At 36.3% G+C, this 23,921-nt stretch overlaps 1 protein-coding gene and 1 pseudogene across 5 annotated transcripts in view; one reads left to right on the plus strand and one right to left on the minus strand.

Annotated features, from left to right (window-relative positions):
- The window catches only part of RASA2 (RAS p21 protein activator 2), a 128,318-nt gene that overhangs the window by 100,086 nt on the left and 4,311 nt on the right, over nt 1-23,921 (plus strand). For 4 of the 5 annotated variants that reach the window (NM_001303245.3, NM_006506.5, XM_011513059.3 and 1 more), the window contains 4 exons: nt 20,566-20,648; nt 21,377-21,585; nt 22,308-22,411; nt 22,765-22,954. In NM_001303245.3, coding sequence (NP_001290174.1) covers nt 20,566-20,648; nt 21,377-21,585; nt 22,308-22,411; nt 22,765-22,954 — 586 coding nt within the window. Of the gene's footprint in view, nt 1-3,017; nt 3,030-20,565; nt 20,649-21,376; nt 21,586-22,307; nt 22,412-22,764; nt 22,955-23,921 lie in introns of all 5 variants that reach the window. The other variant, NM_001303246.3, reaches the window with a different exon arrangement.
- Nucleotides 12,147-13,588, minus strand: YWHAQP6 (YWHAQ pseudogene 6; annotated as a pseudogene).

Raw genomic sequence — 23,921 nt, forward strand, 5'->3', positions numbered from 1 at the left:
TGAGACTATTTCTGTCCTTTGCTGGGAAATATCAGCCAAAAATTCCCACAGTTATACCATAGATTGTGATCCCTATACAGTTGTCAAATTCATCCTAGGCTCTTAGCTAAGCTAACCCCAAGGTGGATGACTTAATAATTTGCCTTGTGAGAAGACTCTGTTGCCTTTACAAGTGGGCTATTTGTGTAAATGAAGCCATCTTCCTACAGTGTGATTTGAGAGCTGCAGAGAGGCAAAGCTTATCCTTCAGTAGACTGACACAGTCCTTTAAATAAACTACTTTTGAGTTTATTCCGTTGGGTTAATTTTCCACAGAAGGCCAGGTGTGGTGGCTCATGCCTGTAATCCTAGCACTTTGGGAGGCCAAGGTGGGAGGATTACTTGAGGTCAGGAGTTTGAGACCAGCCTGACCAACATGGCAAAACCCCATCTCTACTAAAAGTACAAAAAAATTAGCTGGGCATGGTGGCGCATGCCTGTAGTCCCAGCTACTCTGGAGGCTGAGGCAGGAGAATCGCTTGAACCCAGGAGGCAGAGGCTGCAGTAAGCTGAGATCTTGCCACTGCACTGTAGCCTGGGTGACAGAGCAAGACTCCATCTCAAAAAAAAAAAAAAAAAAAAGGAATTATCCACAGAAGGCCATTAGCTTCTGATATTTTAGCAAGAAGAATTTAGTATCTAGATGACAGATCACATCTATATAGTAGAATCCCTTCTGTCCAAAATGATCAGGATCCAGAGATGTTCACTTAACCAAACCAAAAGGTTGGTTAAAAGTGAGAATCATTTTAAAATAAACAAAAAGATGCATATAGATCTTAATTTATGTATTTGTTTACCAGCATTTTGGTAGAGAACCAAGATTATTTCTTTGACTATGGACCTATAGATCAGATTTCCTGTCTTTCTTGTGTAAATATACCCATAATGCATCAGTTTTCAGGATGATTTCTCCAAAGTAAATCTAGAACTTAGATACTTGAAAAGTAATTCAAGCACAAAATCCTCTTAGATTTTCAGGATAGTTACATTAGTCTTTTACAGCTGTCTTACCTCCACATAAATCAGCCTTATTTGTGGAGGTATGCGTCTCCTTTTTAGAGGCTTTTCAAAGCATTTACCTGATTTTCAAATAAGTAATAAACCTCTTGGTAGTGGGCACTTACTTTGTCTCTTTACATAAAGTAAATTATAATTACAACATAGAAAACTAGCATAAATAAGTTTAGCAACAAACCCAATGGATATAGTAAGCAAAACAGCCTAACCGATGGAAGTAGAAGGGCGCAGGCTTAACAGAGTACCTGAGCAACCACAAGCGTGTAGCACCCCGTGAGCAACATTCAGTATGTTTTACAGAGGAAATGGAGAGTCTGTTAATCTATCAAATCTGTTAGGTAAAGATCTGTTAAGAGAGCTTCTGCTGTAAATTCTGGAATAATACATCAGACATAGGGTGCTTTAAAGAGGATATAACACAGTTAAGTAGAGTGCTTCAGTGGAGACTCTTGAATAGTAGAGTGATAAGAAAAAATTTTTATTTCATAATTCTTCCTTAGGAATGGCTTAACCAGAATGACTACATGTGTCCCAGTATATTAGAAAGATATAAGAAACCAAATGCATTATACTTTTGGGTATATTACTCAGATAATTTGTTACAACATTTACATACTCAAATAACTAAAAGTCAATAGGCTACATACATGCCCTTCCAGATAGCTTTTTATTTTTATTTTTTTTTTTTGAGATGGATTCTCACTCTGTCACCCAGACTGGAGGGCAGTGGCATGATCTTGGCTCACTGCAACCTCTGCCTCCCGGATTCAAGCGATTGTCCTGCCTCAGCCTCCCGAGTAGCTGGGATTACAGGCGCCCGCCACCACACCCAGCGAATTTTTATATTTTTAGTGGAGACAGGGTTTCACCATGTTGGCCAGGCTGGTCTTGAACTCCTGACCTCGTGACCTGCCCCCTCAGCCTCCTAAAGTGCTGAGATTACAGGCATGAGCCAGCGCGCCCGGCCCAGATAGCATTTTTTAAGCTAAGCATATTTTGAATGTTTTAGAAATTATAACTTACTGAATACTATATAAATGTTCTCACCTATGCATAGCACTGGGTGCTAATTATGTTTACATTAATAGTACATTTAAATAAAAGTTAAGGTAAATTAGTCATTCTCTGTGAATAAATGAGTTCTTTTTTCTTCATTTAAAGCATTTTCTAATCTAAACCAATATTCTGAAGTATTTTTCGGTTTATAATCTTCTTTAAGAATTAGATAGCTATGGACCCCTTTGTCTAGAAAACTGTACCTACAAACATAGACAAAAAATTTTGCATTTAACTTCAGGGAGTTCATAGACACAAAATTTTGCATATAATATCAGGGAGTTCATAGACCTAAAGTTCATCTGTGATTCTCAAGTTAAGAACCTCTGTTCTGGCCGGGCGCGGTGGCTCACACCCGTGATCCCAACACTTTGGGAGGCTGAGGCAGGCGGATCATGAGGCCAGGAGATCAAGACCATCCTGGCCAACGCGGTGAAACCCCATGTCTACCAAAAATACAAAAATTAGCCAGGCGTGGTGGTGTGCGTCTGTAGTCCCAGCTACTTGGGAGGCTGAGGCAGGAGAATTGCTTGAACCTGGGAGGCGGAGGCTACAGTGAGCCAAGATCGCGCCACTGCATTCCAGCCTGGGTAACAGAATGAGGCTCTGTCTCCAAAAAAAAAAGAAAAAAAAAAGAATCTCTGTTCTGTCCACTGATTTTAAGAGGACAAAATTCTCTAGAATGATGAGGCTACTAGAGGTATAAAACAGACGCATTAGAAGCTATGTTGTTGTTAAGCATTAAGAAGTTTAAAATTTTGGAATGACATTGGAGGAATGAGATATGAAGTTTCAAGCTTATTTACCAAAGCCTGCAGTTTTAAGCTTCCATGCTTTTTGTTTTAACTATTTTGATGGATTTTTCCAAAATATATTACATGCTTCCCTGCCTTCTAAAAAAGAGTTCATTGAACGTAAGTTAACATCTTCTAGATGACTTGGGGCTACCATTGATAATATTAATTGTTATATGGATTCTGATTTAGTGATATTTTCAGGGCTGCTTAAAGGTGTGTGCAACTGTTTACTCCAGCTAAATGCATTTACTCCGCAGCTAAATGCCTTGGACTGCTGTGCTTTTTGTGTTCCTATGTTCGCTTTATACAGTTTTTCTGTATCCTTTGTGGTAAGGCTGTGGCCTTAAATTTCTTGTGATGTCTGTGAACCATAATATAACACCTTATTCCCATCCCATCACCCACCTCTATTTTTTACAGTAGTGTCCTATAAGTGAGGATGCAAGTGCTATGTTTGTTTAAATTATGCCTAAGATTAAAAGGCTTTGAATGAAAACGTCAGGACTTTCTCCTGTAAATAAAATACCTGGGCTTTGCATTCTCTGTTTGGTTGTTGAGCAAATGTTTTGCTTACTTCCAATTTCCCTGCTGTTTTCTAGGTAGCCAAGACTTGCTAGTTAATTAGTCTTTTGCTACACTTACTATGTGACTTTGGTGTCTGAAAGAATACCTCCCAAATTTCCTGTAACATAGACCTAAATCATTGAGTCTTTCACTCTCTCTTCCTAATATACAGTAGTATTGTGAATCAAGTATTTCTGTCACTTAGTGTCAAATAATATGCATAGTCTTTTCCCAATTTACTGGAAAATGAATTAGTAGAATTTTCTCTGTATTAAGGATTTTTCTTCAATAAGTTTTTAAATTTTTGAGGCCCCTTTAGGCAAGTGCTAACAGGCAATAGTAAGCAACTAATCAGTAGAGTTAAATTAACATGTAGCAAATGAATATTATCAGACACTCAGCCATCAGTCATGATTACCTTGAGAGATTTTTATGGCCCTGTGTACTTACAATTATGATTTTATATTGCTATACTATAATTTAGTCATCTTCTACAAGTAAAAGTTCTCTTAGTTATATGCGGAGATCAAACTAGTTATTGATGTTCTAGCCTCTTTATGTCTCATTCAGCCTCATCTTTTGCAGTATCCATATGTAGTTTCACCAGACTACTTTTTGCAGTGCCTTCTTTACATCTTTTGCATGCTTTTACATTCATGCTTTTGCATATGTACATAAAAATATCTACCTAAAAATTCCTTTATTTTCTCCTTTACCTGTGTAATCTGTTGTCCTTTAAGTCTTAGATCAAGTGTCAGCTCTTTATGGAAGCCATTGTAAGCCTCATATGGCTACCTCAGTGTAGCCATTCCCTTACTGTGTATCTTCAGCTACGTGGCATTACTGTGTGGTCATTACTTTTGTCCATCTCTTCCCCTAGTCTTTAAGATCCTCAGTGGTAAGGACCATATTATTACTAGTGGCATAAAGGCATATAGTAAGTATTCTTCAAAGAACACCATGTCTTCCATATATGCTGTCATCTGAATTACGTTACGAACTACTTGTCTTTCTAAAATTTCTGCCAGGCATACTAATTCATCTTTGAAATTCTGTTCTGTAGAATTTAATTAGATATTGTCTACTTTGGGGAGACCTGTTATACACATATACATACACACAACTTTCATGTGACATTAAATGCCCTAGCTTATATAGCCAGCCCTACCCTAGCTCATATAGCCAGTGGACATTGTAAAAGAAATGTCCATGATATTTTAAACATAAATGTTCAATACACTGAAGTTGACACGGTTTTCACCTACCTGTATTTTCACATACAGGGCTCTGCAGCTTTTTTTTTTTCTGATAGCTAAAGAACAAAATACATCATTGATTCAATCATGCATTTATTCAACAGGTATTTTATTGAGTGCCTACTATGTACCAGACACTGTTCTAGGCTCTGGAGAGAAAAATAGTAAACAAAACATACCAAATCCCTGTCCTTATAGATCTTTACTAAGACAATAAACAGTAAAAAAAAGAAAATTATATTTATGTTGGATTATAATAAATCAGATGAACAAAAAAGAAGCAGGGACAAGGTACAGAAAATGATGGGTTCAGTGAGGTGAGTTAAAATATTAAAAGGTCTAACCAGGGAAGGCTTCACTGAGAAAGTGACATTTGAGCAAAGACCTAAATCTAAAGATGGTCGGGGAGTGAACCATGTGGATATTTGGGATAAAAGTGTCACAGAAATAGCTAACAGCACCCAGAACAAATGCCTTGAAATAGAAGCATGCCTGGAGTGTTAAAGAGATAAGAGAAAGCTCTTGTGGCTGGAAAATTGAAGAAGAGGGTAAGTCATAGGAACTAAGATCAAAAAGATCATAGAAGTGCTAGATTTTATAGGACCTTGTGGGCTTTTACTTTGAGTAAAATGGAAAGACATTGGAGAGGTTTAAGCAGAAGAATAACATTGTTTAACTTATGTCTTAATAGGGTAACTTATGTCTGTGGAGTGTTACATGGAGAATGAATGAAGGGCACAAGGAGAGCAGTTAAGAGACTACTAAAATATTCTAGAGGAGAAAAGAGAATGGCTTGGATCTGTTGGTAGCAGTAGAAATGATAAAAATGGATCACATTCTGAATCTATTTGAAAAATAGTACCCAGAGGAGTTAGATACTGGGAGTGAGAGAAAAAGGCAAGTTAAGGATAATTCCAAGGATTTGGGCATGAAGTTGCCTTTTTAAAAATAGATAAAGAACTCTTTTTGAGGAAAAAAAAGAAGTAAAGAAGGGGAACAGAAAATGATGGAGTCAGTATAAAACTGAACTTGAAAAAAAAAAAGAAGAGTCCTGGTAATGGTAGAAAAAACCAAGAGTCCTGGTAGTGGTAGAGAAGCTTATATTAGACTAACTCTTATAGATAACAATTATAAACCTTTAGCAGAATATATATATAGCAATTCTCTGAAGAATTTGACCCTTGAAAGAAAGGAACCATGCTGGCTAAGATTGATTGATTGAGATGGAGTTTCACTCTTGTTGCCCAGGCTGGAGTGCAGTGGTGCAATCTCAGCTCACTGCAACCTCCACCTCCCAGGTTTAAGTGATTCTTCTGCCTCAGCCTCCCCAGTAGCTGAGATTACAGGCATGCATCGCCATGCCCGGCTAATTTTGTATTTTTAGTAGAGACAGGGTTTCTCCATGTTGGTCAGTCTGGTCTTGAACTCCCAACCTCAGGTGATTCACCCACCTTGGCCTCCCAAAGTGCTGGGATTACAGGCATGAGCCACTGCGCCCGGCCTAAGATTTATTTTTATACAGCTTTTCCCCTTGAAAGCACTCCCAGTCTAGCCAGTTTGAGGTGGTGCTAAAATGCAAGCAGAAAACTAAGCTTTATTGGCTTGAGATACCAAAGGATGGAGTTTAGGGCTACCAGAGAGGCTGGAAATTGAGGCATAAAGAGGAGTTCTTCAGTCTGCATGTGAACTCCTCTGAAATATTTAGTTGACTCTTAAACCGCTAATGCAAGAGGGACCTCCAAAGGGGCTAGTGAAAAGCAATAACTGAAAACTTGAAAAAGATGAGCAGAGACTTCAGTTTCTGTCCGCCTCAAAGGAGACAGAATTTGGAATTTTACTTAGAGAGCTTAGCAAACACTTAAATATTTTCATCAAAATCTCAAAAGAGTGGTGGCGCAGTAGTAAAGACTATATTCTAGGATTAAGAATAAACAAAGTATAGTATAAACAAAGTATAAAACCAACCCTCACGATAATCACCAATGATGTAACTTCAAGGGAAGGTAACTGAATCCATAGTTTCTACAATGTTTTATTCATGAAGGCCAGTATGTAATGGAACATTAACAACTCAAGAAGAAACACAGAATTATAATGCATAATCTGGAGAAAAGGCGATCAGTAGAAGTAGACCCCTAGATGATCTACATGTTGGAATTAGCAGACGTGAACGTTAAAGCCTCTATTATAAATATTTCAAGGACTTAGTGGAAAAGTAGTCATCATGAGTAAAGAAATGGGGAATCTCAGCCAAAAAAGAAAATAAAAAGGGAATCAAATGGAAATTCTAGAATTGAAAAGCACGATACCTGACATCAAAAATCTGATGGGCTTAACAACAGATTGGTTCACTGAACTTGAAGATCGATCAGTAGAAATGAACCAATCTAGAACACAGAAAAGACTTGGGGGAAATGAACAAAACCTCAGTGACCCTTTAGTACAATATCAGGTAGTCTAACATATGCATGGTTGGTGTCCTAGAAGGAGAGTAGAGAAAGAATTGGACAAAAAAAAAAATTTTTTTTTGAAGAAATAATGGCCTAAAATTTCCCAAATTTGGTGAAACAGTATCTTATAGATCTGAGAAGCTCAATGAACTGCAAGCATGATAAACGCAAAGGAAACCGCACTTAGACATAAAATAGTCAAACCAGAGATAAAGAGAAAATCTTGCAAGCAGAGAAACAAAAGACAAGATACATACACAGGGGAACAACAGTACAGTTGACAGCCAACTCCTCATAAAAAGCAACTAAAACTGGAGGACAGTGGAATGACCTGTTTAAAATGCTAAAGGAACAAAAGTCTCAACCTAACATTCTAGAGAAAATTTTCTTTGAAAATGAAAATATATTTTAAATAAATGAAAGCTGAGAGAGACTCCATTGTGAGCAAGCCTGCACTATAAGAAATGCTAAAGGAAATTCTTCAGGCTGAAAGGAAATAATACCAGATGGAAACTTAGATCTACAAGGAGTAAAGAGCACTGGAAATGGTAAATATGTGGGTAAATGTAAGAATGCCTGTTTTTTTTTTCTCCATTTCTTTAAAAAGCAACTGTTCGATGCAAAATGTATAACATTTAATTATAGGGTTTATAACATATCTGGATATGAAATATATGACAGTAACAGCACAAAGGAAGGGGGTGGAGTAAATTATTCCAAGGGTCTTATATTTTATGTGAAGTGATGCAAGAATAATTTTAAGTAGACTGTGATGAGTTAAGGCTGTATATTATAATATCTAGAACAAAAATTTAGGGAAATACTTGACATAACTAATCCATCCCCTCTCCTCCTCCCAAACAATAAATAAATTAAAATGTGAGGAAGGGAAGAACAGAGGAGCAAAAATCAGATGAGACAGACAGAAAACGTATAACAAAATGATAGCTTAAACCCAGCCATATCAATAATTACAGTAAATGTAAATGAACTACAATACATTGAAAGAGACTATCAGACTATATTTTAAAAAGCAAGATCCAATAATATACTTTCTACAATATATCCACGTTAAATATATTATAAAAGCACAGATAGGTTGAAAGTAATTGGGTGGAGAAAGATGATGTAAACAGTAAGCAGTAATCCCAGACCAAGTAGATGTCAAAACAACTTTTACCAAATATGTTTGGGCACATTTTATAATGGCAGAAGGAGCACATAATCCTAAATGTGTACATACCTAATTACAACTTCAATGTAGTTGGAGAAAAAAACAGAATTGAAATAGGACATCTACAATTCTAGTTGAATTTTTTTTTCTTTTTTTCTTTTTTCTTTTTCTTTTTTCTTTTTTTGAGACAGGGTCTTGCTCTGTCTCCCAAGCTGGAGTGCACAGACATAGCTCACTGCAGCCTTGACCTCCTGGGCTCAAGAGATCCTCCTGCCTCTGCCTTCTGTGTACCTGGGACCACAGGTGGACGCCACCACATCTGGCTGATTTTCTGATTTTTTGTAGCTGCAAGGTCTCACTTTGTTGCCCAGGGTGGTCTCAAACTCCTGGACCCAAGTGATCCTCCTGCCTCGGCCTAGAATTAACAGGTATGAGCCACTGCACCTGGCCTGTACTTGAATATTTTAATAGTCTTCTCTCAGCAATTGTTAGAGGAGCTGAGCACAAGAACCAGTTTTCTTACAGAAGTTTGAAATAATACTATCAGTCACCTTGATCTAATTTACATTTATGGGACACTAGGCCAAACAGGTGCAGAATACATATTCTTTTGAAATGTGCATTGGAACATTCAGTAAAATAGGCCGCCATATGCTGGGCCTGGAGTCTCAGTAAATATCAAAAGATTGACTTTTTACAAAGTATGTTCTCTGATCACAACAGAATTAATGACAATATGATACCTGGAAGAGCCCCAAATATTTGGAAATTAAATAAAATACTTCTAAGTAACCTATAGATTGAAGAATTCACAAGGAAACTCAAAAATATTTTTAACTTAAATGATAATGAAAATGCAACAAATATATCAAAGTTTGTGGGATACAGCTAAAACAGTATGTAAAGGGAAATTGATTGTTATTAACAAGTAAAGAAAATCTTTGAGCCTTTATAGGTTAGGCAAAGATTTCTTACATAACTAAATGTATGGTCTATAAAAGAAAATATTTGATAAATTGGATCTCATCAAAATTCAAAAACATTTCAAAAGAGGACCATTAAGAAAATGAAAAGGTAAGCAACAGACTGGAAGAATATATTTGCAAAACGCTTATCTAATATACTTGTATCTAGAATTTTCAAAAACCCAATTTAAAAAGAGGACGATAGATATGAACAAACATTTTATCAAAGAGATTATACAAGTGGATAATAAGCATATGAAAAGATGCTCAACATCATTATTAGGGAAATGCAAATTAAAACCACAATGAGATACCATTTCACACCAACTAGAGTGTCTGTAACAAATAAGACAGACAATACCAAATGTTGTTGAGAATGTGGAGAAACAGAAACCCTCATACATTTCCAGTGGGAATGTAAAATAGGGGCTTTGACAGTCAGCAACTGGGCAGTTCTCAGAAAGTTAAACATAAAACTACTATACATGTAACCTAGCAATTCCACTGTTGGTTACCTACCCCAAAAGAAATGAAAACATATGCCCACACAAAGAATCGGAGTGAATGTTCAGAGCAGCGTTATTCACAATAGCCAAAAACTAGAAGCAACCTAAATGTCTATCAGCTGGTGAATGGGTAAATAAAATATGATATATATATGCAATAGAACACTATTAGCAATACAGGCTGGGCGTGGTGGCTCACATCTGAAATCCCAGCACTTTGGGAGGCCAAGGTAGGAGGATGACTTGAGCTCAGGGGTTTGAGACCAGCCTGGGCAACATGGTGAAACCCTGTCTCTACAAAAAATAATAATAAAGAATACTACTAGCAGTAAAAAAGATTGAGCTACTGACACATGCTGCATCATGGATGAACCTCAAAAAATTACGCTAAGTGAAAGAAGTCAGAGCCAAGAAATTACGTACTGCATGATTCCATTTATACGAAGTGTCCAGAAAAGACAAAGGTATAGGAACAGAAAGTAGGTTAGTGGCTGCTTGGGACAGGTTGGGAACCAGTCCCAAGTAGCCGATTGGGGTATAAACAGGCATGAGGGATTTTATTGGTAGAATGAAGCTGTTCTAAAATTGATTTATGGTCATGGTTATACCACTCAGTAGAGTTACAAACAAACCTTCATTTGTACACTTAAACTGGATGAATTGATATGTCAAATAGGCTCACCTTAATAAAGCTTTTATTTTTAAAAAAAGAAAGGATAAAATCAAATATATTTTCAACTTAAACTAGAAAATGAGAAAATAAACCTAAAGTTAATTGAAGAATGGCAAAAATAAAGATGAGAGTACAATCAGTGAAATAGGAAACAAACTAATAGTGAAGCATAACAAAGCCAAAAGCTTTAATAAAATTGAAAAATGCCTAGAAAGACTGATAAAAGAAAAAAAAATCAAACACAAAATTACCATGATTAGGAATAAGACTACTACAAATTCCAATGACATTAAAAGACTAACCAGAAACTAATATGAGCAACTTTATATCAATAAATTTGACAATTCAGATGAATGGACAAATTTCTTGGAAAACAATTTACTAAAACAGATGCAAGAAAAAAGTAGAATATCTTAAAAACCCTGTATCTCTGCTTGTGATGAAATGTGTCCTAAAAAAGAATGCCAGGCTTAAATAGCTTTACTGGTAAAGTCGGCCAAACACTTAAGGAAGAAATAACGTCAACCTTACCCACAAAGTCTTTTAGAAAACAGAGGGAAAGAATACTTGCCAAGTCATCTTCTGAAGCCTGCATAACTCTAGTACTAAAACTAAAGATTTTTCAAGAAAAAATACATATAATGAATTAAATCCAGCAGTATATGAAAAGGACAATCCATAATGAAGTGGGGTTTGTCCCAAGTATATAAAGTTGGTTTAATATCTGAGAACTAATCAACATAATTTATCTTATTAACAGACTAAATGTATTTGACAAAATTTAACACCTCTTTGTGATTAAAGAAAATAAAAACTCTTGAATGAAGTCTAAAAGATAATCTCCTAAATCTGATCAAAAGTGTATGTAAGAAATTTGTAGTTAAATCAAGGATTATCCCCTTTAATAAATTCTGTTCAATACTGAAGATTTTAGCCAATGCAGTAAGACAAGAAATAAAAGGCATATAGTGTTATATTGAAACTCCTGAAGAATCCTCAGAACAGCTACTTGAACAAATAACTGAATTTAATTTAGCAAGGTCTTGGGATAAAGGATAAATATGTACAAATCAATTATATTTCTACAAGTTGCAAACTGTTAGAAAACAAAATTTTAAAAATCATACCCTTTACAGTAGTTCCCCCCCAAAAAAACCCTAAAATACTTAGGAATAAATTTAACCAAAGAAGGCTGGGCACGGTGGTTCACGCCTATAATCCCAGCACTTTGGGAGGCCAAGGTGGGCAGATCACTTGAGGTCAGGAGTTCAAGACCAGCCTGGCCAACATGCTGAAACTTCGTCTCTACTAAAAAATACCAAAAAATCAGCTGGGCGTCGTGGTGCATGCCTGTAATCCCAGTTACTCGGGAGGCTGAGACAGGAGAATCACTTGAACCCAGGAGGTGGAGGTTGCAGTGAGCCGAGATCGCGCCACTGCACTCCAGCCCCGGCGACAGAGCGAGACTCTGTCTCAATAAATAAATTAATTAAAATAAATTTAACCAAAGAAGTACAACACCTCTACACTGAAACTACAAAACACTCCGGAGATAAGGTAAAGAAAGTCTAAATAAAAAGAGACATGTCATGTTTGTGGATTGAAGATTGAGTTTCTTTGTTTTTTGGGTTTTTTTTTTTTTTTTTTGGTTTATAAAGTGTAATTTTATTTTATGTTACTCTGCTGTTACATAGGGCATAACATTTTCACAAGGCTTTTTTGGGACTACAGTCAATGATTAGCAACACACAATAGTGTTCCAACTCTAACAATCACTAGACAAACAGGACACCCTCTCACGTGCACAGATCTGCATAGAAAAGTACAAAAGTTTTAAATTTAGACTTGTGTACTTTAATTTGTTTCCCCTTTCTAGTGTATTAAAAAATGACATGCACTTTAATTTGCCAAAAGCAATGTTGTATTCTGGCAGCAACATGCTACTTCTATTACATAGTAAAGTGAATACCAGAACTACAAAGACAGGAGGTATAAGTGAATTTTTATTGGGAAGGGAGGTTGTCAACTTAAACAGCAGCAAATAAAGAGTGAATAAGGAAACTCCCTGTTGCCACAGATATACATGACCTCCTTATGTGATAAAGGAGGCATTTCAATTTGTGAACCATAGCCAGAGATGGCAAGTGCGTTTTCATTCAGTCTAATACTTCTGGATTCCTACTAAAAAGGAATACATTAAGAGCATGGAAAAATTGCTTATTGAAAGGAAACCCTCGAAGAGTAAGGGAGGGAATGTAGAAATTAAGTTATGTAGAACACTCTTTAAATTGTAATTAACTACATTTTTATATCTTCACAGTAATACAAAACACAGTCACTTGCAGAACTGTTTCAGATTACTTAAATACCAGATACATTTTTAGTCCTCTACATAAGTGTGTGGAAGTTACTTACGTTTATATGAAATGAAGCTATTAATATTTTTCTACAGCAGTAACTGCACACCAGGAAGGCCAAGACAAACACAAATCAGGGAATGAAGTTTTCCCAAAGCTGCAGTGTGAAAAGACTAAAAACAGTTGACTCCAAACACATGAATCGGTTTCTTTGCTATAGGAAATCCAAGTGGAATAAGGAATGGAGATGTGTAAAAAGGTTTCTTGAAGGAAAGAAGGAGGACACCCTGTATGTATTTAGTTTTCAGCCCCTTCTACTGCCTCACATTCTTCTCCTGCACTGTCTGATGTCCAAAGTGTTAGGTTGTCTCTAAGCAATTGCATGATGAGGGTTCTTGTCGGAGGTGTCAGTCTTCTGCTCAATGTTCAAGATGAGCCTCCAGGCGGACCTGCAGCCCCCGACCACATTCTAATAAGGAGCAGGTTGCGCTCCTTATTAGACAGCTCGGCGACCTACTTGGTCACAGCCTTCATGCAGGTGGCCATGTCATCGTAGTGCTCTGCCTGCTTGGCCAGCTTGGCCTTCAGGATCAGCTCCCTCTTCTCCTTGACGGGTGCAGGGCAGAGGGCAAAGAGAGCAAGGGCAAGCGCCGACCCGGAGCAGGAGGAGTCCTTCAGAGCTTCACATCTCCGTGGCCACAACTAGAGTCCCACCACTTTGATCTGCCTTTTAGATAAGTATTTTTTAAGAAGCCACATCTCCCTGAATTCATCTCGATTTTAACACAATCCCACTCCAAATCCCAGCCAGTTTTTAAAATAAAAATGGACAAGTTGATTCCAGAATTTACATGGATGGAAAAATAAAGGTCTTAACCATAGCCAAAGCAATGTTGAAAGGTAAAACAAAGTTGAGAGCTAATTTAAAGACTTACTGTAAAGCTGCAGTAATCAAGATTGTAGGTTTAGGATAAGAGAGAAAGAGATCAATGGACAGAGCAGAAAGAAACACACACATAAATATGGCCAATTCCGTTTTAACAAAGCTGTCAAGGCAATTCAGTAGGGAAAGAAAAGGCTTTTTAACATATGGTGCAGGAACGACCCTGATAAACATGGAGGGGAAATGAACTTTACCCCACCTCACACAACACAAAATTTAATTTAAGATGATGGGGCCGGGCACAGTGGCTCACACCTGTACCCTAGCACTTTGAGAGGCTGCGGCAGACAGATTGCCTGATCTCAAGAGTTCAAGACCAGCCTGGGCAATATGGTGAAACCCCGTTTGTATTAAAAATACAAAAATTAGCTGTGCATGGTGGCCCACGGCTGTAATCCCAGCTACTCAGGAAGCTGAGGTCCGAGAATCACTTGAATGCTTGAACTCGGGAGGCAGAAGTTGCTGTGAGCCGAGATGGCATCACTGCGCTCCAGCCTGGGCAACAGAGAGAGACTGTCTCCACTGTCTCCAAAAAAAAAGAAAAAAAAAAGATGATAGAATCATAGACCTCAAAGAAAATGTGGAAAAATATCTTCGAAACCATGATATGCTAGGATTTCTTGAAGAGAACATTAAAAGCACTGAACATTTTTCTTAAATGAATTGGACTTCATTGAAAAGAAAGATGTATTTTCTCCATTATTCATTGTGATTCCTTTTTCTTTTTTTAATATGATGACCATAAAATGTATTACTTGGTGGTTGAAATTTTTCAAGAGCTTGTTGGGGTTTGTTGAATTTTTTGAACCATAAGATAATGTTTTTCACCAAATTTGGGACTTTTTTGACTTATTTCTTCAAATTTCTCCCCTTTTTCTTCTAGGGATCCTCCAATTTATGCTGATAAATTGTCTCATGGATCTCACTGAGACTCAGTTCATTTTTCTTTTATTCTCTTTGGTCTCCAAATCAGATCATTTTTACTTAAGTTCACTGATTTAGCTCATGTGAATTTTTCATTCATCTGTTGTACTTTTCAGCTCCAGAATTTCCATTTAGTTCTCTTTGTACTTTAGATTTTTCTGTTGAGAGCCTATATATGTTCAGTTGCTATTAGTATATTTTTATTGAATTATTTCAGCATATTTAGAGTAACTGCTTTGAAGTCTTAGGCTGCTAAATTCAGTATCTGGACCCATTCAGAATCAGTTTTAGTTGGCTGCCTTCTTTCCCAAGTTATGTGTCACACTTTCCTGTTTTTTTATATGTCTTACTTTCTTATTAAAAGCTAGACATTTTTAAGATCAGCAGTCCCCAACCTTTTTGTCACCAAGGACCAGTTTCATGGAAGACAATTTTTCCACGGACTGGTGGGGGGTCATGTATTTGGGATGAAATTGTTTTACCTCAGATCATCAGGCATTAGATTCTCATAAGGAGTGCACAACCTAGATCTGTTGCATGCTCGTTTCACAATAGGATTTGCACTCTTGTGATCTCATGCCACCCTTATCTGACAGGAGGCAGAACTCAGGTAGTAATGCTTGCTTGCCCACCCACTGCTGCTCCTGCTGGGTGGCCCAGTTCCTAACAGGCCACTGACCAGTACCAGTCTATGGTCCAGATTTTGGGGACCCCTCTTTTAGATAGTACACTGTAGTGTGTCTGCATTTGGTTTGTTCTGAATGCTTGCCTAGACTAAAACTGCAGTCTCTCTCTCTTACTTACAGTGTATCTCTCTGTTCAGATGTTTCCCTCTAACCCTAGCTAGCTCCCTAGGGGGCCTCACCTGAACTTGATTAGTTTAGTGGTCAACAAATGAATTGAGCAGGCAGCTCAAATACCTCAAAGGCTTCCACCCTCTGTCATCTGAGCTGTGTGTGGATTAGAGAATACATTCAGAGTCACAGCAAATTGACGTCTCCCCAGGCTTTCAGTTTTTGCCAGACTCTGGGATATTCCACATACATGCCTACGTTAGCAGTCAGGCAGGGATCTGGCAAGTTTATTATCAGGCTTTCATAGCCCTCTTGCTTCCAGATTTCATCCTTAAATGGAATCTGTAACCTCCAGCCAGTAAAACTTGTATTTTCATTGCCTAACTTGGGGATAATGGAAACACCCCCAGGTAGGAAGACCATAAATCCACAGTTCTTACCCTATGCGGTTTTTCATGAGTAAACTTATCACCGTTGGTTGTTTTCCCGTGCCCTGAAGTTGTTTTTAACAATTTGCCCAGTTTTATACACCCATCTTTCTTAACACTATTATCAAAAATACAGTCATGGTAACATTGTTTTAGCTGTGTCCCTTGGGGCCAATATGTAGTTGGACATTCATTTTTATTGTGGTGGTAATTGTATTTTTTTAAATTTAGGCCAGGCACAGTGGTTCAGGCCCGTAATCCCACTACTTTAGGAGGCCAAGGCGGGTGGATCACCTGAGGTCAGGAGTTCGAGACCAGCCTGGCCAACATGGTGAAACTCCATCTCTACTGAAAATACAAAAATTAGCCAAGTGTGGTAGTGGGCGCCTGTAATCCCAGCTACTCAGGAGGCTGAGGCAGGAGAATCGTTTGATCCCAGGAGGTGGAGATTGCAGTGAGCCGAGATCATGCCATTGTACTCCAGCCTGGGTGATGAGAGCAAAACTCTGTCTCAAAAAAAAATAAAAAATAAAATTTAGATATAATTCACATACCATAAAATTCACCCTTTTAAGGTATACAGTTGATTGGTTTTCAAGATATTCATAGTGTTGCGCAATTGCCACTAATTCCAAAGCATTTTCACCACCCAAAAAGAAACCCTATACCCATTAACAGTCACTCCCCATTCCTCCCTTCTCCCAGCCTCTGACAACCACTAATATACTTTCTGTCTCTATAGATTTGCCCATTCTAGACATTTCATGTACATGGAATCATATGTAGCCTTTTGTGACTAACATCTTTCACTCAGCATAATGTTTTGGAGGTTCATTCATGTTGTAGCATGAATCAGTACTTTATTTTCATGGCTGAATCATATTCTCTTTTACAGATAATACCACATTTTGTTTATTCATTCACCAGTTGATGGACATTTAGGTTGTTTTTGGTTTTTGGCTATTATGAACAATGCAGTTGTGAACATTCATTTACAAGTTTTTGTGTGGATGTGTCTTCAGCTCTCATGGTATATACGTAGGAGTGTAATCAGTGAGTTAATAGGGTATTTCTGTTTAATTAGGAGGTAATGACAACTTTAAAACCTGATTTCAGCCATTTAGTAGGAAATTTAATGCACTCACATTTATTGTGATTACCATTACTACTACTTTGTTTTGTGTTTTCTATTTACTAGTCTTTTCTGTTTCTTGGGTTTATTTTTCCCTTCCTTTTTATTGGAATAGTTGAGCATATATGGGTGTTTGCACTCTATCTTTCTGTCTCTATCTAGTGAGGAAACTTGACTATCCTATTTTTACTTTTTAAATTGTTAACAAATTAAAACTTAAATGTTTATATTAATGTCTACAGTTGATCCAAGTCTCCATTCAAGCTGGGAAAGAACATTATCATGCTTTCAATTATTCTTTTCCTAGCATCTCCCTAAAGAAGTCATCTGGAATTTTAATACTTGTTTCTCTTGTTTCTTTTACCTTTTTACATTATGTTTTAATGATTTTGCATCCTTGCCTATCAATTTTACTGATTTCTTTGGCCCAACACTATTTTTTGTATAACACATCTTTTTCCTGGATTCATTATTATTTTGTGGGAGTACTTAAGGAATTCTTTCAGATAGGCTTTATGGCTGATAAGTTTTCTGAGTCCTTACATATACAAAAATGTCTTTTACCTGGGGTGTGGGGAGGGGGGAGGGATGGCATTAGGAAATATACCTAATGTAAATGACGAGTTAATGGGTGCAGCACACCAACATGGCACATGTATACATATGTAACAAACCTGCACATTGTGCACATGTACCCTAGAACTTAAAGTATAACAAAAATATACATATATTAAATAAATAAATAAATAAATTGAACAGGAATAAAAAAAAATGTCTTTTCCCCTTACTCTTGAATGATAGTTCAATGGAGTAAACATACTCCATTGTTTACTAGCTTCCATTGCTGCTGATGAGGATTTTGATGTCACTCTGATTCTCAGTCTTTTGACTCTTCTATCTAAAAACTCTTAGGACTCTCTGTAGCCTTCAAGTTCTAATGTTTTTCTGCCTAGTATTTAGGAGGTTTTCTTTTTTCTTCCATCCTGCTTAGTACTTGGTGGATAACTTTCTATTTGAAGATTTCTGACTTTATCTTGGGGACATTTTTATGTGTAATTTTCTCCTGAATACTCTTATTTGTCAGATATTAAAACTTCTAAATCCATCCACGATGGTACTTAACTATTCTATTTTTGCTTCTTTTTCTTCTTGTACTGTATTTTTGGAAAGACCTCAGTAAAATCTTTCATTTTCACTAACTCACATTGCAGTTCACTCCAGTTAACACTGTTAACTGTGAAATTAACCCTAATGATATCATGACAGTATATGTGCCTGGGAGCAATGCCCTTTCTCCACATATGCTGTGTTACAATTTGTCCAGAAATGAATAAATATAGCAATTTTCAGGGTATGTGCATTCTTTGTGTATTCAACAAATCTAAAGATAGAAACTCCTTGAAAAATTTTAAAATTCTCTGACTATAATGCCCCCTGTAAATTAGTACCCAAAGACATAGGTCTCTTCCCCCCCAATTTCTTAAACTCCTGATTTCCTCAGATGTTATCCTCCTTTGTTGCACATATGTCTCTTCTTCAGAGTGATGAGTTTCCTTAACTGGTGATTTTTTTTTTTTTTGGTGTTTTACTCATCTTTGTGTTTTGCAGTCCATTTACCTACTTGAGTGTTGAGTAGCTTACTGCCAATGATTATGAGGGAGGGACAGGACAAGCTGCTGAGGGGCAGGAGTGCTGTTGCTTGTCTTCTGGTGTGGGTATTCTCTCCTTCCCTTCTGAGAGTTAGCAGCTACCTGTGACATTGCACTGCTCTGCAGCCCAGTATGCATCCTTGCTGCTTTAGCCTGTGAATATATGCCTCTGTTGACTGCTGCTTAGCACAAACCTGGGAATGGGGAGGGCCTGATTGACCCAGCTGTTCCACATGCAACTCACCGATTAATCATCCTGATGTATGTCTGAGTGCCCCCAACCTTCAGCTGTCTGTGTCCACTGGCTCTGGCTTGAAACTCTTCCTTAACCACTCCTACTTTTGCAGATGTCTTATTGTACATCTGGCTTAGACTATGGCTTCCTTCAGTTACTGCCTCCCTGCCCCACCATTCAATTCCCCACCCCCATAAATATAATCTCGTCTGATTCTAGGAGATTGCTGATAGTCTTTCCTTATTATCTCATGCATTTATGATTTATATTTGTTAACTGTAAATGTCATTTCCTCAGAAAGTTTTTTCCTAGCCACCCAATTTAAAGTAATTTCTCACTTTCTATCACATCACCTCAGTTTATTTTCATTGTAGCATTCATCTCTATTTAATATTTATGGTCTTTTGTCTTTCCAGACCTAAATGCATACTCCTTTAGGAGCCTTATATGATCTATTTACAGCTATATCATAAGTGGTTAGAACAGTGCCTGATATATAATAGACATTCAGTATATGATAGTTGAATTAAGTGACTTTATCTTTTTTAAAAACATTATATGTCACATTTGCTTGAATTACATAAATTTTAGATTTTATACCAGAAACCAGGCTTATCAAATATTCCATCTTAACATCTCTGTCAAGACAAAAAAAAAAGAAACATACCTTTATTAACCAAATAGTTTTCTTTGCCCAAAACTATGCAATTAATTGGTTAAATAATATAAAATGCAAAGTTTCTTAACCTCCAGCACTTCAATCTATATGTCATTCAAGCAAAGCTTGGGGGTGAAATAAAAGCAAAGCTTTGATTTTTCTAAGAACAATATTACAAAATGACCAGAAGTTAGAATTATGTTTGCTTATAGTTTCTATGACTATGTGAGATATAATTTATTCTCAGGTAAATCGTTAAGTTGAAATGCATCATATTCTTATGCCATGTTATTATGGAGCTCCTTTAGCAAATTCAAATTTCCTTAATGGAATTTCCAAAGTCTTAGGTTAAGGATTCATTCTACCAGATAAGATTTTTACTTTTTTTCCCTACATCTCTTAAATTTTGTAGCTTTTGATCAGGTGGCTGATCAACCCATATGGGACAATAATGAACAGTTTTTCAGTTTAGAAATATTATTTTGAGGGTTAATCCCTTCATTAAATTTAGGTTAGAAAAATATAAAAATGCACATAGGTAGTCATAGTCACTGCTTACATAGTAACTCCTCCATGAAAGAAAAGTCCTTGTCTAGGCAAGTTTTGAGTTGGCCTCTTTTGCTGAGTCTATTTTTTCAGTCCCCATATATAAAATTTTGTAACTTTCTTACGTTCTACACAGAGATCAAATTTAGTCCCAGATTTTTCCTTGAAAATGTTTTAATATTATATGGCAAAGAAAAGCAGTGGTCACTTTAGAAGACAATCAAAATTCATCTGTTCCATGAAACAAATATTTATATATATGCCATTTGTAAGTCTTCTGTAGGTTATTTACACTCCTACCATCAAGAGGATGAGCTTAAACCCTACAGAATTAACCTCTCATCTTTATAATTCTGATGGAAATTACTTTAATTTTGTTTTACTTTTTTTATTATTTAGGCAAAGATGCAATCTACACAATCCCAGTAAAAAACATTCTTGCTGTGGAAAAACTGGAAGAGAGCTCTTTCAACAAGAAAAATGTAAGTTATGTAAATAAATATTTAAAGCTTTCTGAACTGCATATATTACTTAAGTATTTGTATTTCGAGGTATTTGTTAATACCTTGTATTTGTATCACCTATTACTTAGATATTTGTATTCAAATTTTCAAGAAGTTGTTTATTGGATTGTTTACTATTAATCATTAATAGTTCATAAATAGCTAGCTGAAACTCTGTCTTAAAATTGTCCTTTATTGTTGATGCCTCATATAGCTTGCCTAGTTTGTTAAGTTAAAAATACTTTTCTCAAGATTTCCCTGTTATACTGCTGTACATGATATTCAAGTTTCTAAGTAATACAGTCCCAAGCTATCTGTCCAGCTTTGTCTTCTGCTCCCATTCAGTGCATACCATACACTTAAGCCAACCAGGATGATTTCCTTGTTCCTAAATATTTTTCTACTGCTTTTTCTTTATACTTTTTCTTCCATTAACAATTCCCTCCCTTTATTCTTATCTATATGATAGTCCATTCCTTTGGATATGTGTGGCTTCTAAAACTTACATTCTTTTGTACTGCTTAGTACCATGTGACTCAGATTATGCTTGGGACTAACTTGCTTGAAACATAATAATTTCTAAGACATCTTAGCACCAGTTATCTAGCCAAGCAACTAGATTCCTTTAGGTACTTTTCTTCTGTTTTGTACTGTGTGTTGGTTTTTGGACTCTTGTCACTAACTTTTTATCTTAATTGCCTATGAAGATGTTCCAAGTAATACATACGGAGAAACCACTCTATGTCCAGGCAAATAACTGTGTAGAAGCTAATGAATGGATAGACGTACTCTGCAGGGTGAGCCGATGCAATCAAAACAGGCTCAGTTTTTATCATCCCTCTGTGTATCTGAACGGAAATTGGCTCTGCTGTCAGGAGACTGGTGAAAACACTCTCGGCTGCAAGCCATGTACTGCGTAAGTTTCTTTCTGATTATAAAAGCAGTGTGTCAAAATTTGATATATCCATGCAATGTTAATATTATTTGTCCATGAAAAGGAATGACATACTGATCCATGCAACAACAAGGATGGGACCTTGAAAAATTATGCTAAGTGAAAGAAGTCAATCATAAAGGCCACGTATTATCTGATAACATTGATATAAAGTGTCTAGAATAGGTAAATTCATAGAAACACAAAGTAGATTAGTGGTTACAAGGGATAAGAAGGGAGGAATGGGGAGTGCTATTGGATGCAGAGATTCTTTTAGGAGTGAAGAAAATGTTCCAAAATTAATAGTGGTTGCACAAGTTAAAAAATTTTAAGGCAATGTTTAAATAGAAGCATGAGCTTGAACCAAGATATCAAGAAAGAAGGATCCTTAGCATTCTCTTTCTAATTGTATGGAACAACCATTGTATTTCTATAGACTTAAGTAATAATATATTGTTTTGTGATGAAGCATAGGTTGTGGAAATGATTTTACTTTAAAATTTCCCTCCTTCTGATTAGAGTCACATAACAACCAAAACTCTCCTTGGCCCCACTTTATTTTAACTGTCAAATGAAACTAAATTTCCAGACTTCCTTCTGCAAAAGTCTGTGGTTCTATTTTTAGTCTCAAACCATCAGAAGTCCTTGGCATGTTAACAAAATAAAATTTGTATAATATCTTTATTTTTTTATTTTTACCATAGAGGTGTCCCTGCAGACATCCAAATAGATATTGATGAAGACAGAGAAACAGAAAGAATTTATTCCCTTTTTACCCTCAGTTTACTTAAGCTGCAGAAGATGGAAGGTAAATACACAATCTATTTTTATATAACCATAATCTTTCATTACCAATTCCTAAAGTATTGCTTTAGCATTATACAAAAGTTGAAAATACTCATAGATTTACCAAAATGTTATTTATTGAAAGTTGACAAACCCACAGAGAGGCATTTTTCATTGACATTCATGAAGTAAAAATACTGTTTTTGCATGAATGTGATGATCCTAATAAATAAAATGTATATATTTTAGTTATCTCGGCTCTGCCAAGGGAAATCCCCTCAGCATAAGACACTTGAAAAATTCTTATTTGTACTACATATTGCATTTATAGAATTTAGTTGTCTGATCAGAGATTTATTTTCCTGCTCTTTGTAGAGGCTTGTGGAACTATTGCAGTCTATCAAGGACCACAGAAAGAGCCTGATGATTATTCTAACTTTGTAATCGAGGATTCTGTAACAACCTTTAAGACAATTCAGCAAATAAAAAGCATAATTGAGAAGCTGGATGAACCTCATGAAAAATATAGGAAGAAAAGATCCAGTAGTGCAAAATATGGGAGCAAGTGAGTAATTTTTAAGCTATTGTAAACATATTTTTAAACGGAGTTTGAGATTGCCTCTCCTGCCCCAACCTCACACCTCCTGCTCACCCACATCTGTCAACATCCCGCTCAGGGCCATTCTCTGGTGCAAGTTTCCCTGGCCACTCCAAGTGCTCTTTGTGTTGTTCAGTTTAGCCATCATTTCACTGTGTTGGTGCTATACTTTATCGACTTTTTAATTTCATATATATGTATATGAAATTATATATGATATATGTATATAAATATATATTTTATATATATTTATATTTATATATTATATATTTATATTTATATATTATATATTTATATTTATATATTATATATTTATATTTATATATTATATATTTATATTTATATATTATATATTTATATTTATATATTATATATATAAATATATATATATATATATTTAGTTTTTGTAGAGACAGGTTCTTGCCCTGTCACACAGGCTGGAGTGCAGTGGTGTGATCATAATTCACTGTAACCTCCAACTCCTGGGCTCAAGCGATCCTCCCATCTCAGCATCTTGAGTAGCTAGGACTACAAGTGTACACCACTGTGCCCAGCTATTTGTTTTATTTTTTGTAAAAACAGGGTCTCGCTATGTTGCCCAGGCTGGTTTTGAATTCCTGACCTCCAGCGATCCTCCTGCCTCGTCTCTCAAAGTGCTGAGGTTACAGATATGAGCCAACACCACCAGGCTGTAACCAGTTTTAATGTTACATTCAGTTGTAATTCATTTCTTGAATACTTAGTAGCTCTTCGTTTTGTTTTTGTTTTTACTGATCCTCCTTCTACAGTACATAATAAGAATTCACAAAACTCACCCCCAAAAAAATTAAGCTGTAAAAGTGCTAGAATTATTTTATAGTTGATTTTTTGGACCACTTCAGGTGTAGATGGATACTGCAATGGATAACAACAGCAACAACTCGCATTTATTGGG

The sequence above is a fragment of the Homo sapiens genome, chromosome 3, assembly GCF_000001405.40.
Source record: "Homo sapiens chromosome 3, GRCh38.p14 Primary Assembly".
NCBI classification, from domain to species: domain Eukaryota; kingdom Metazoa; phylum Chordata; class Mammalia; order Primates; family Hominidae; genus Homo; species Homo sapiens.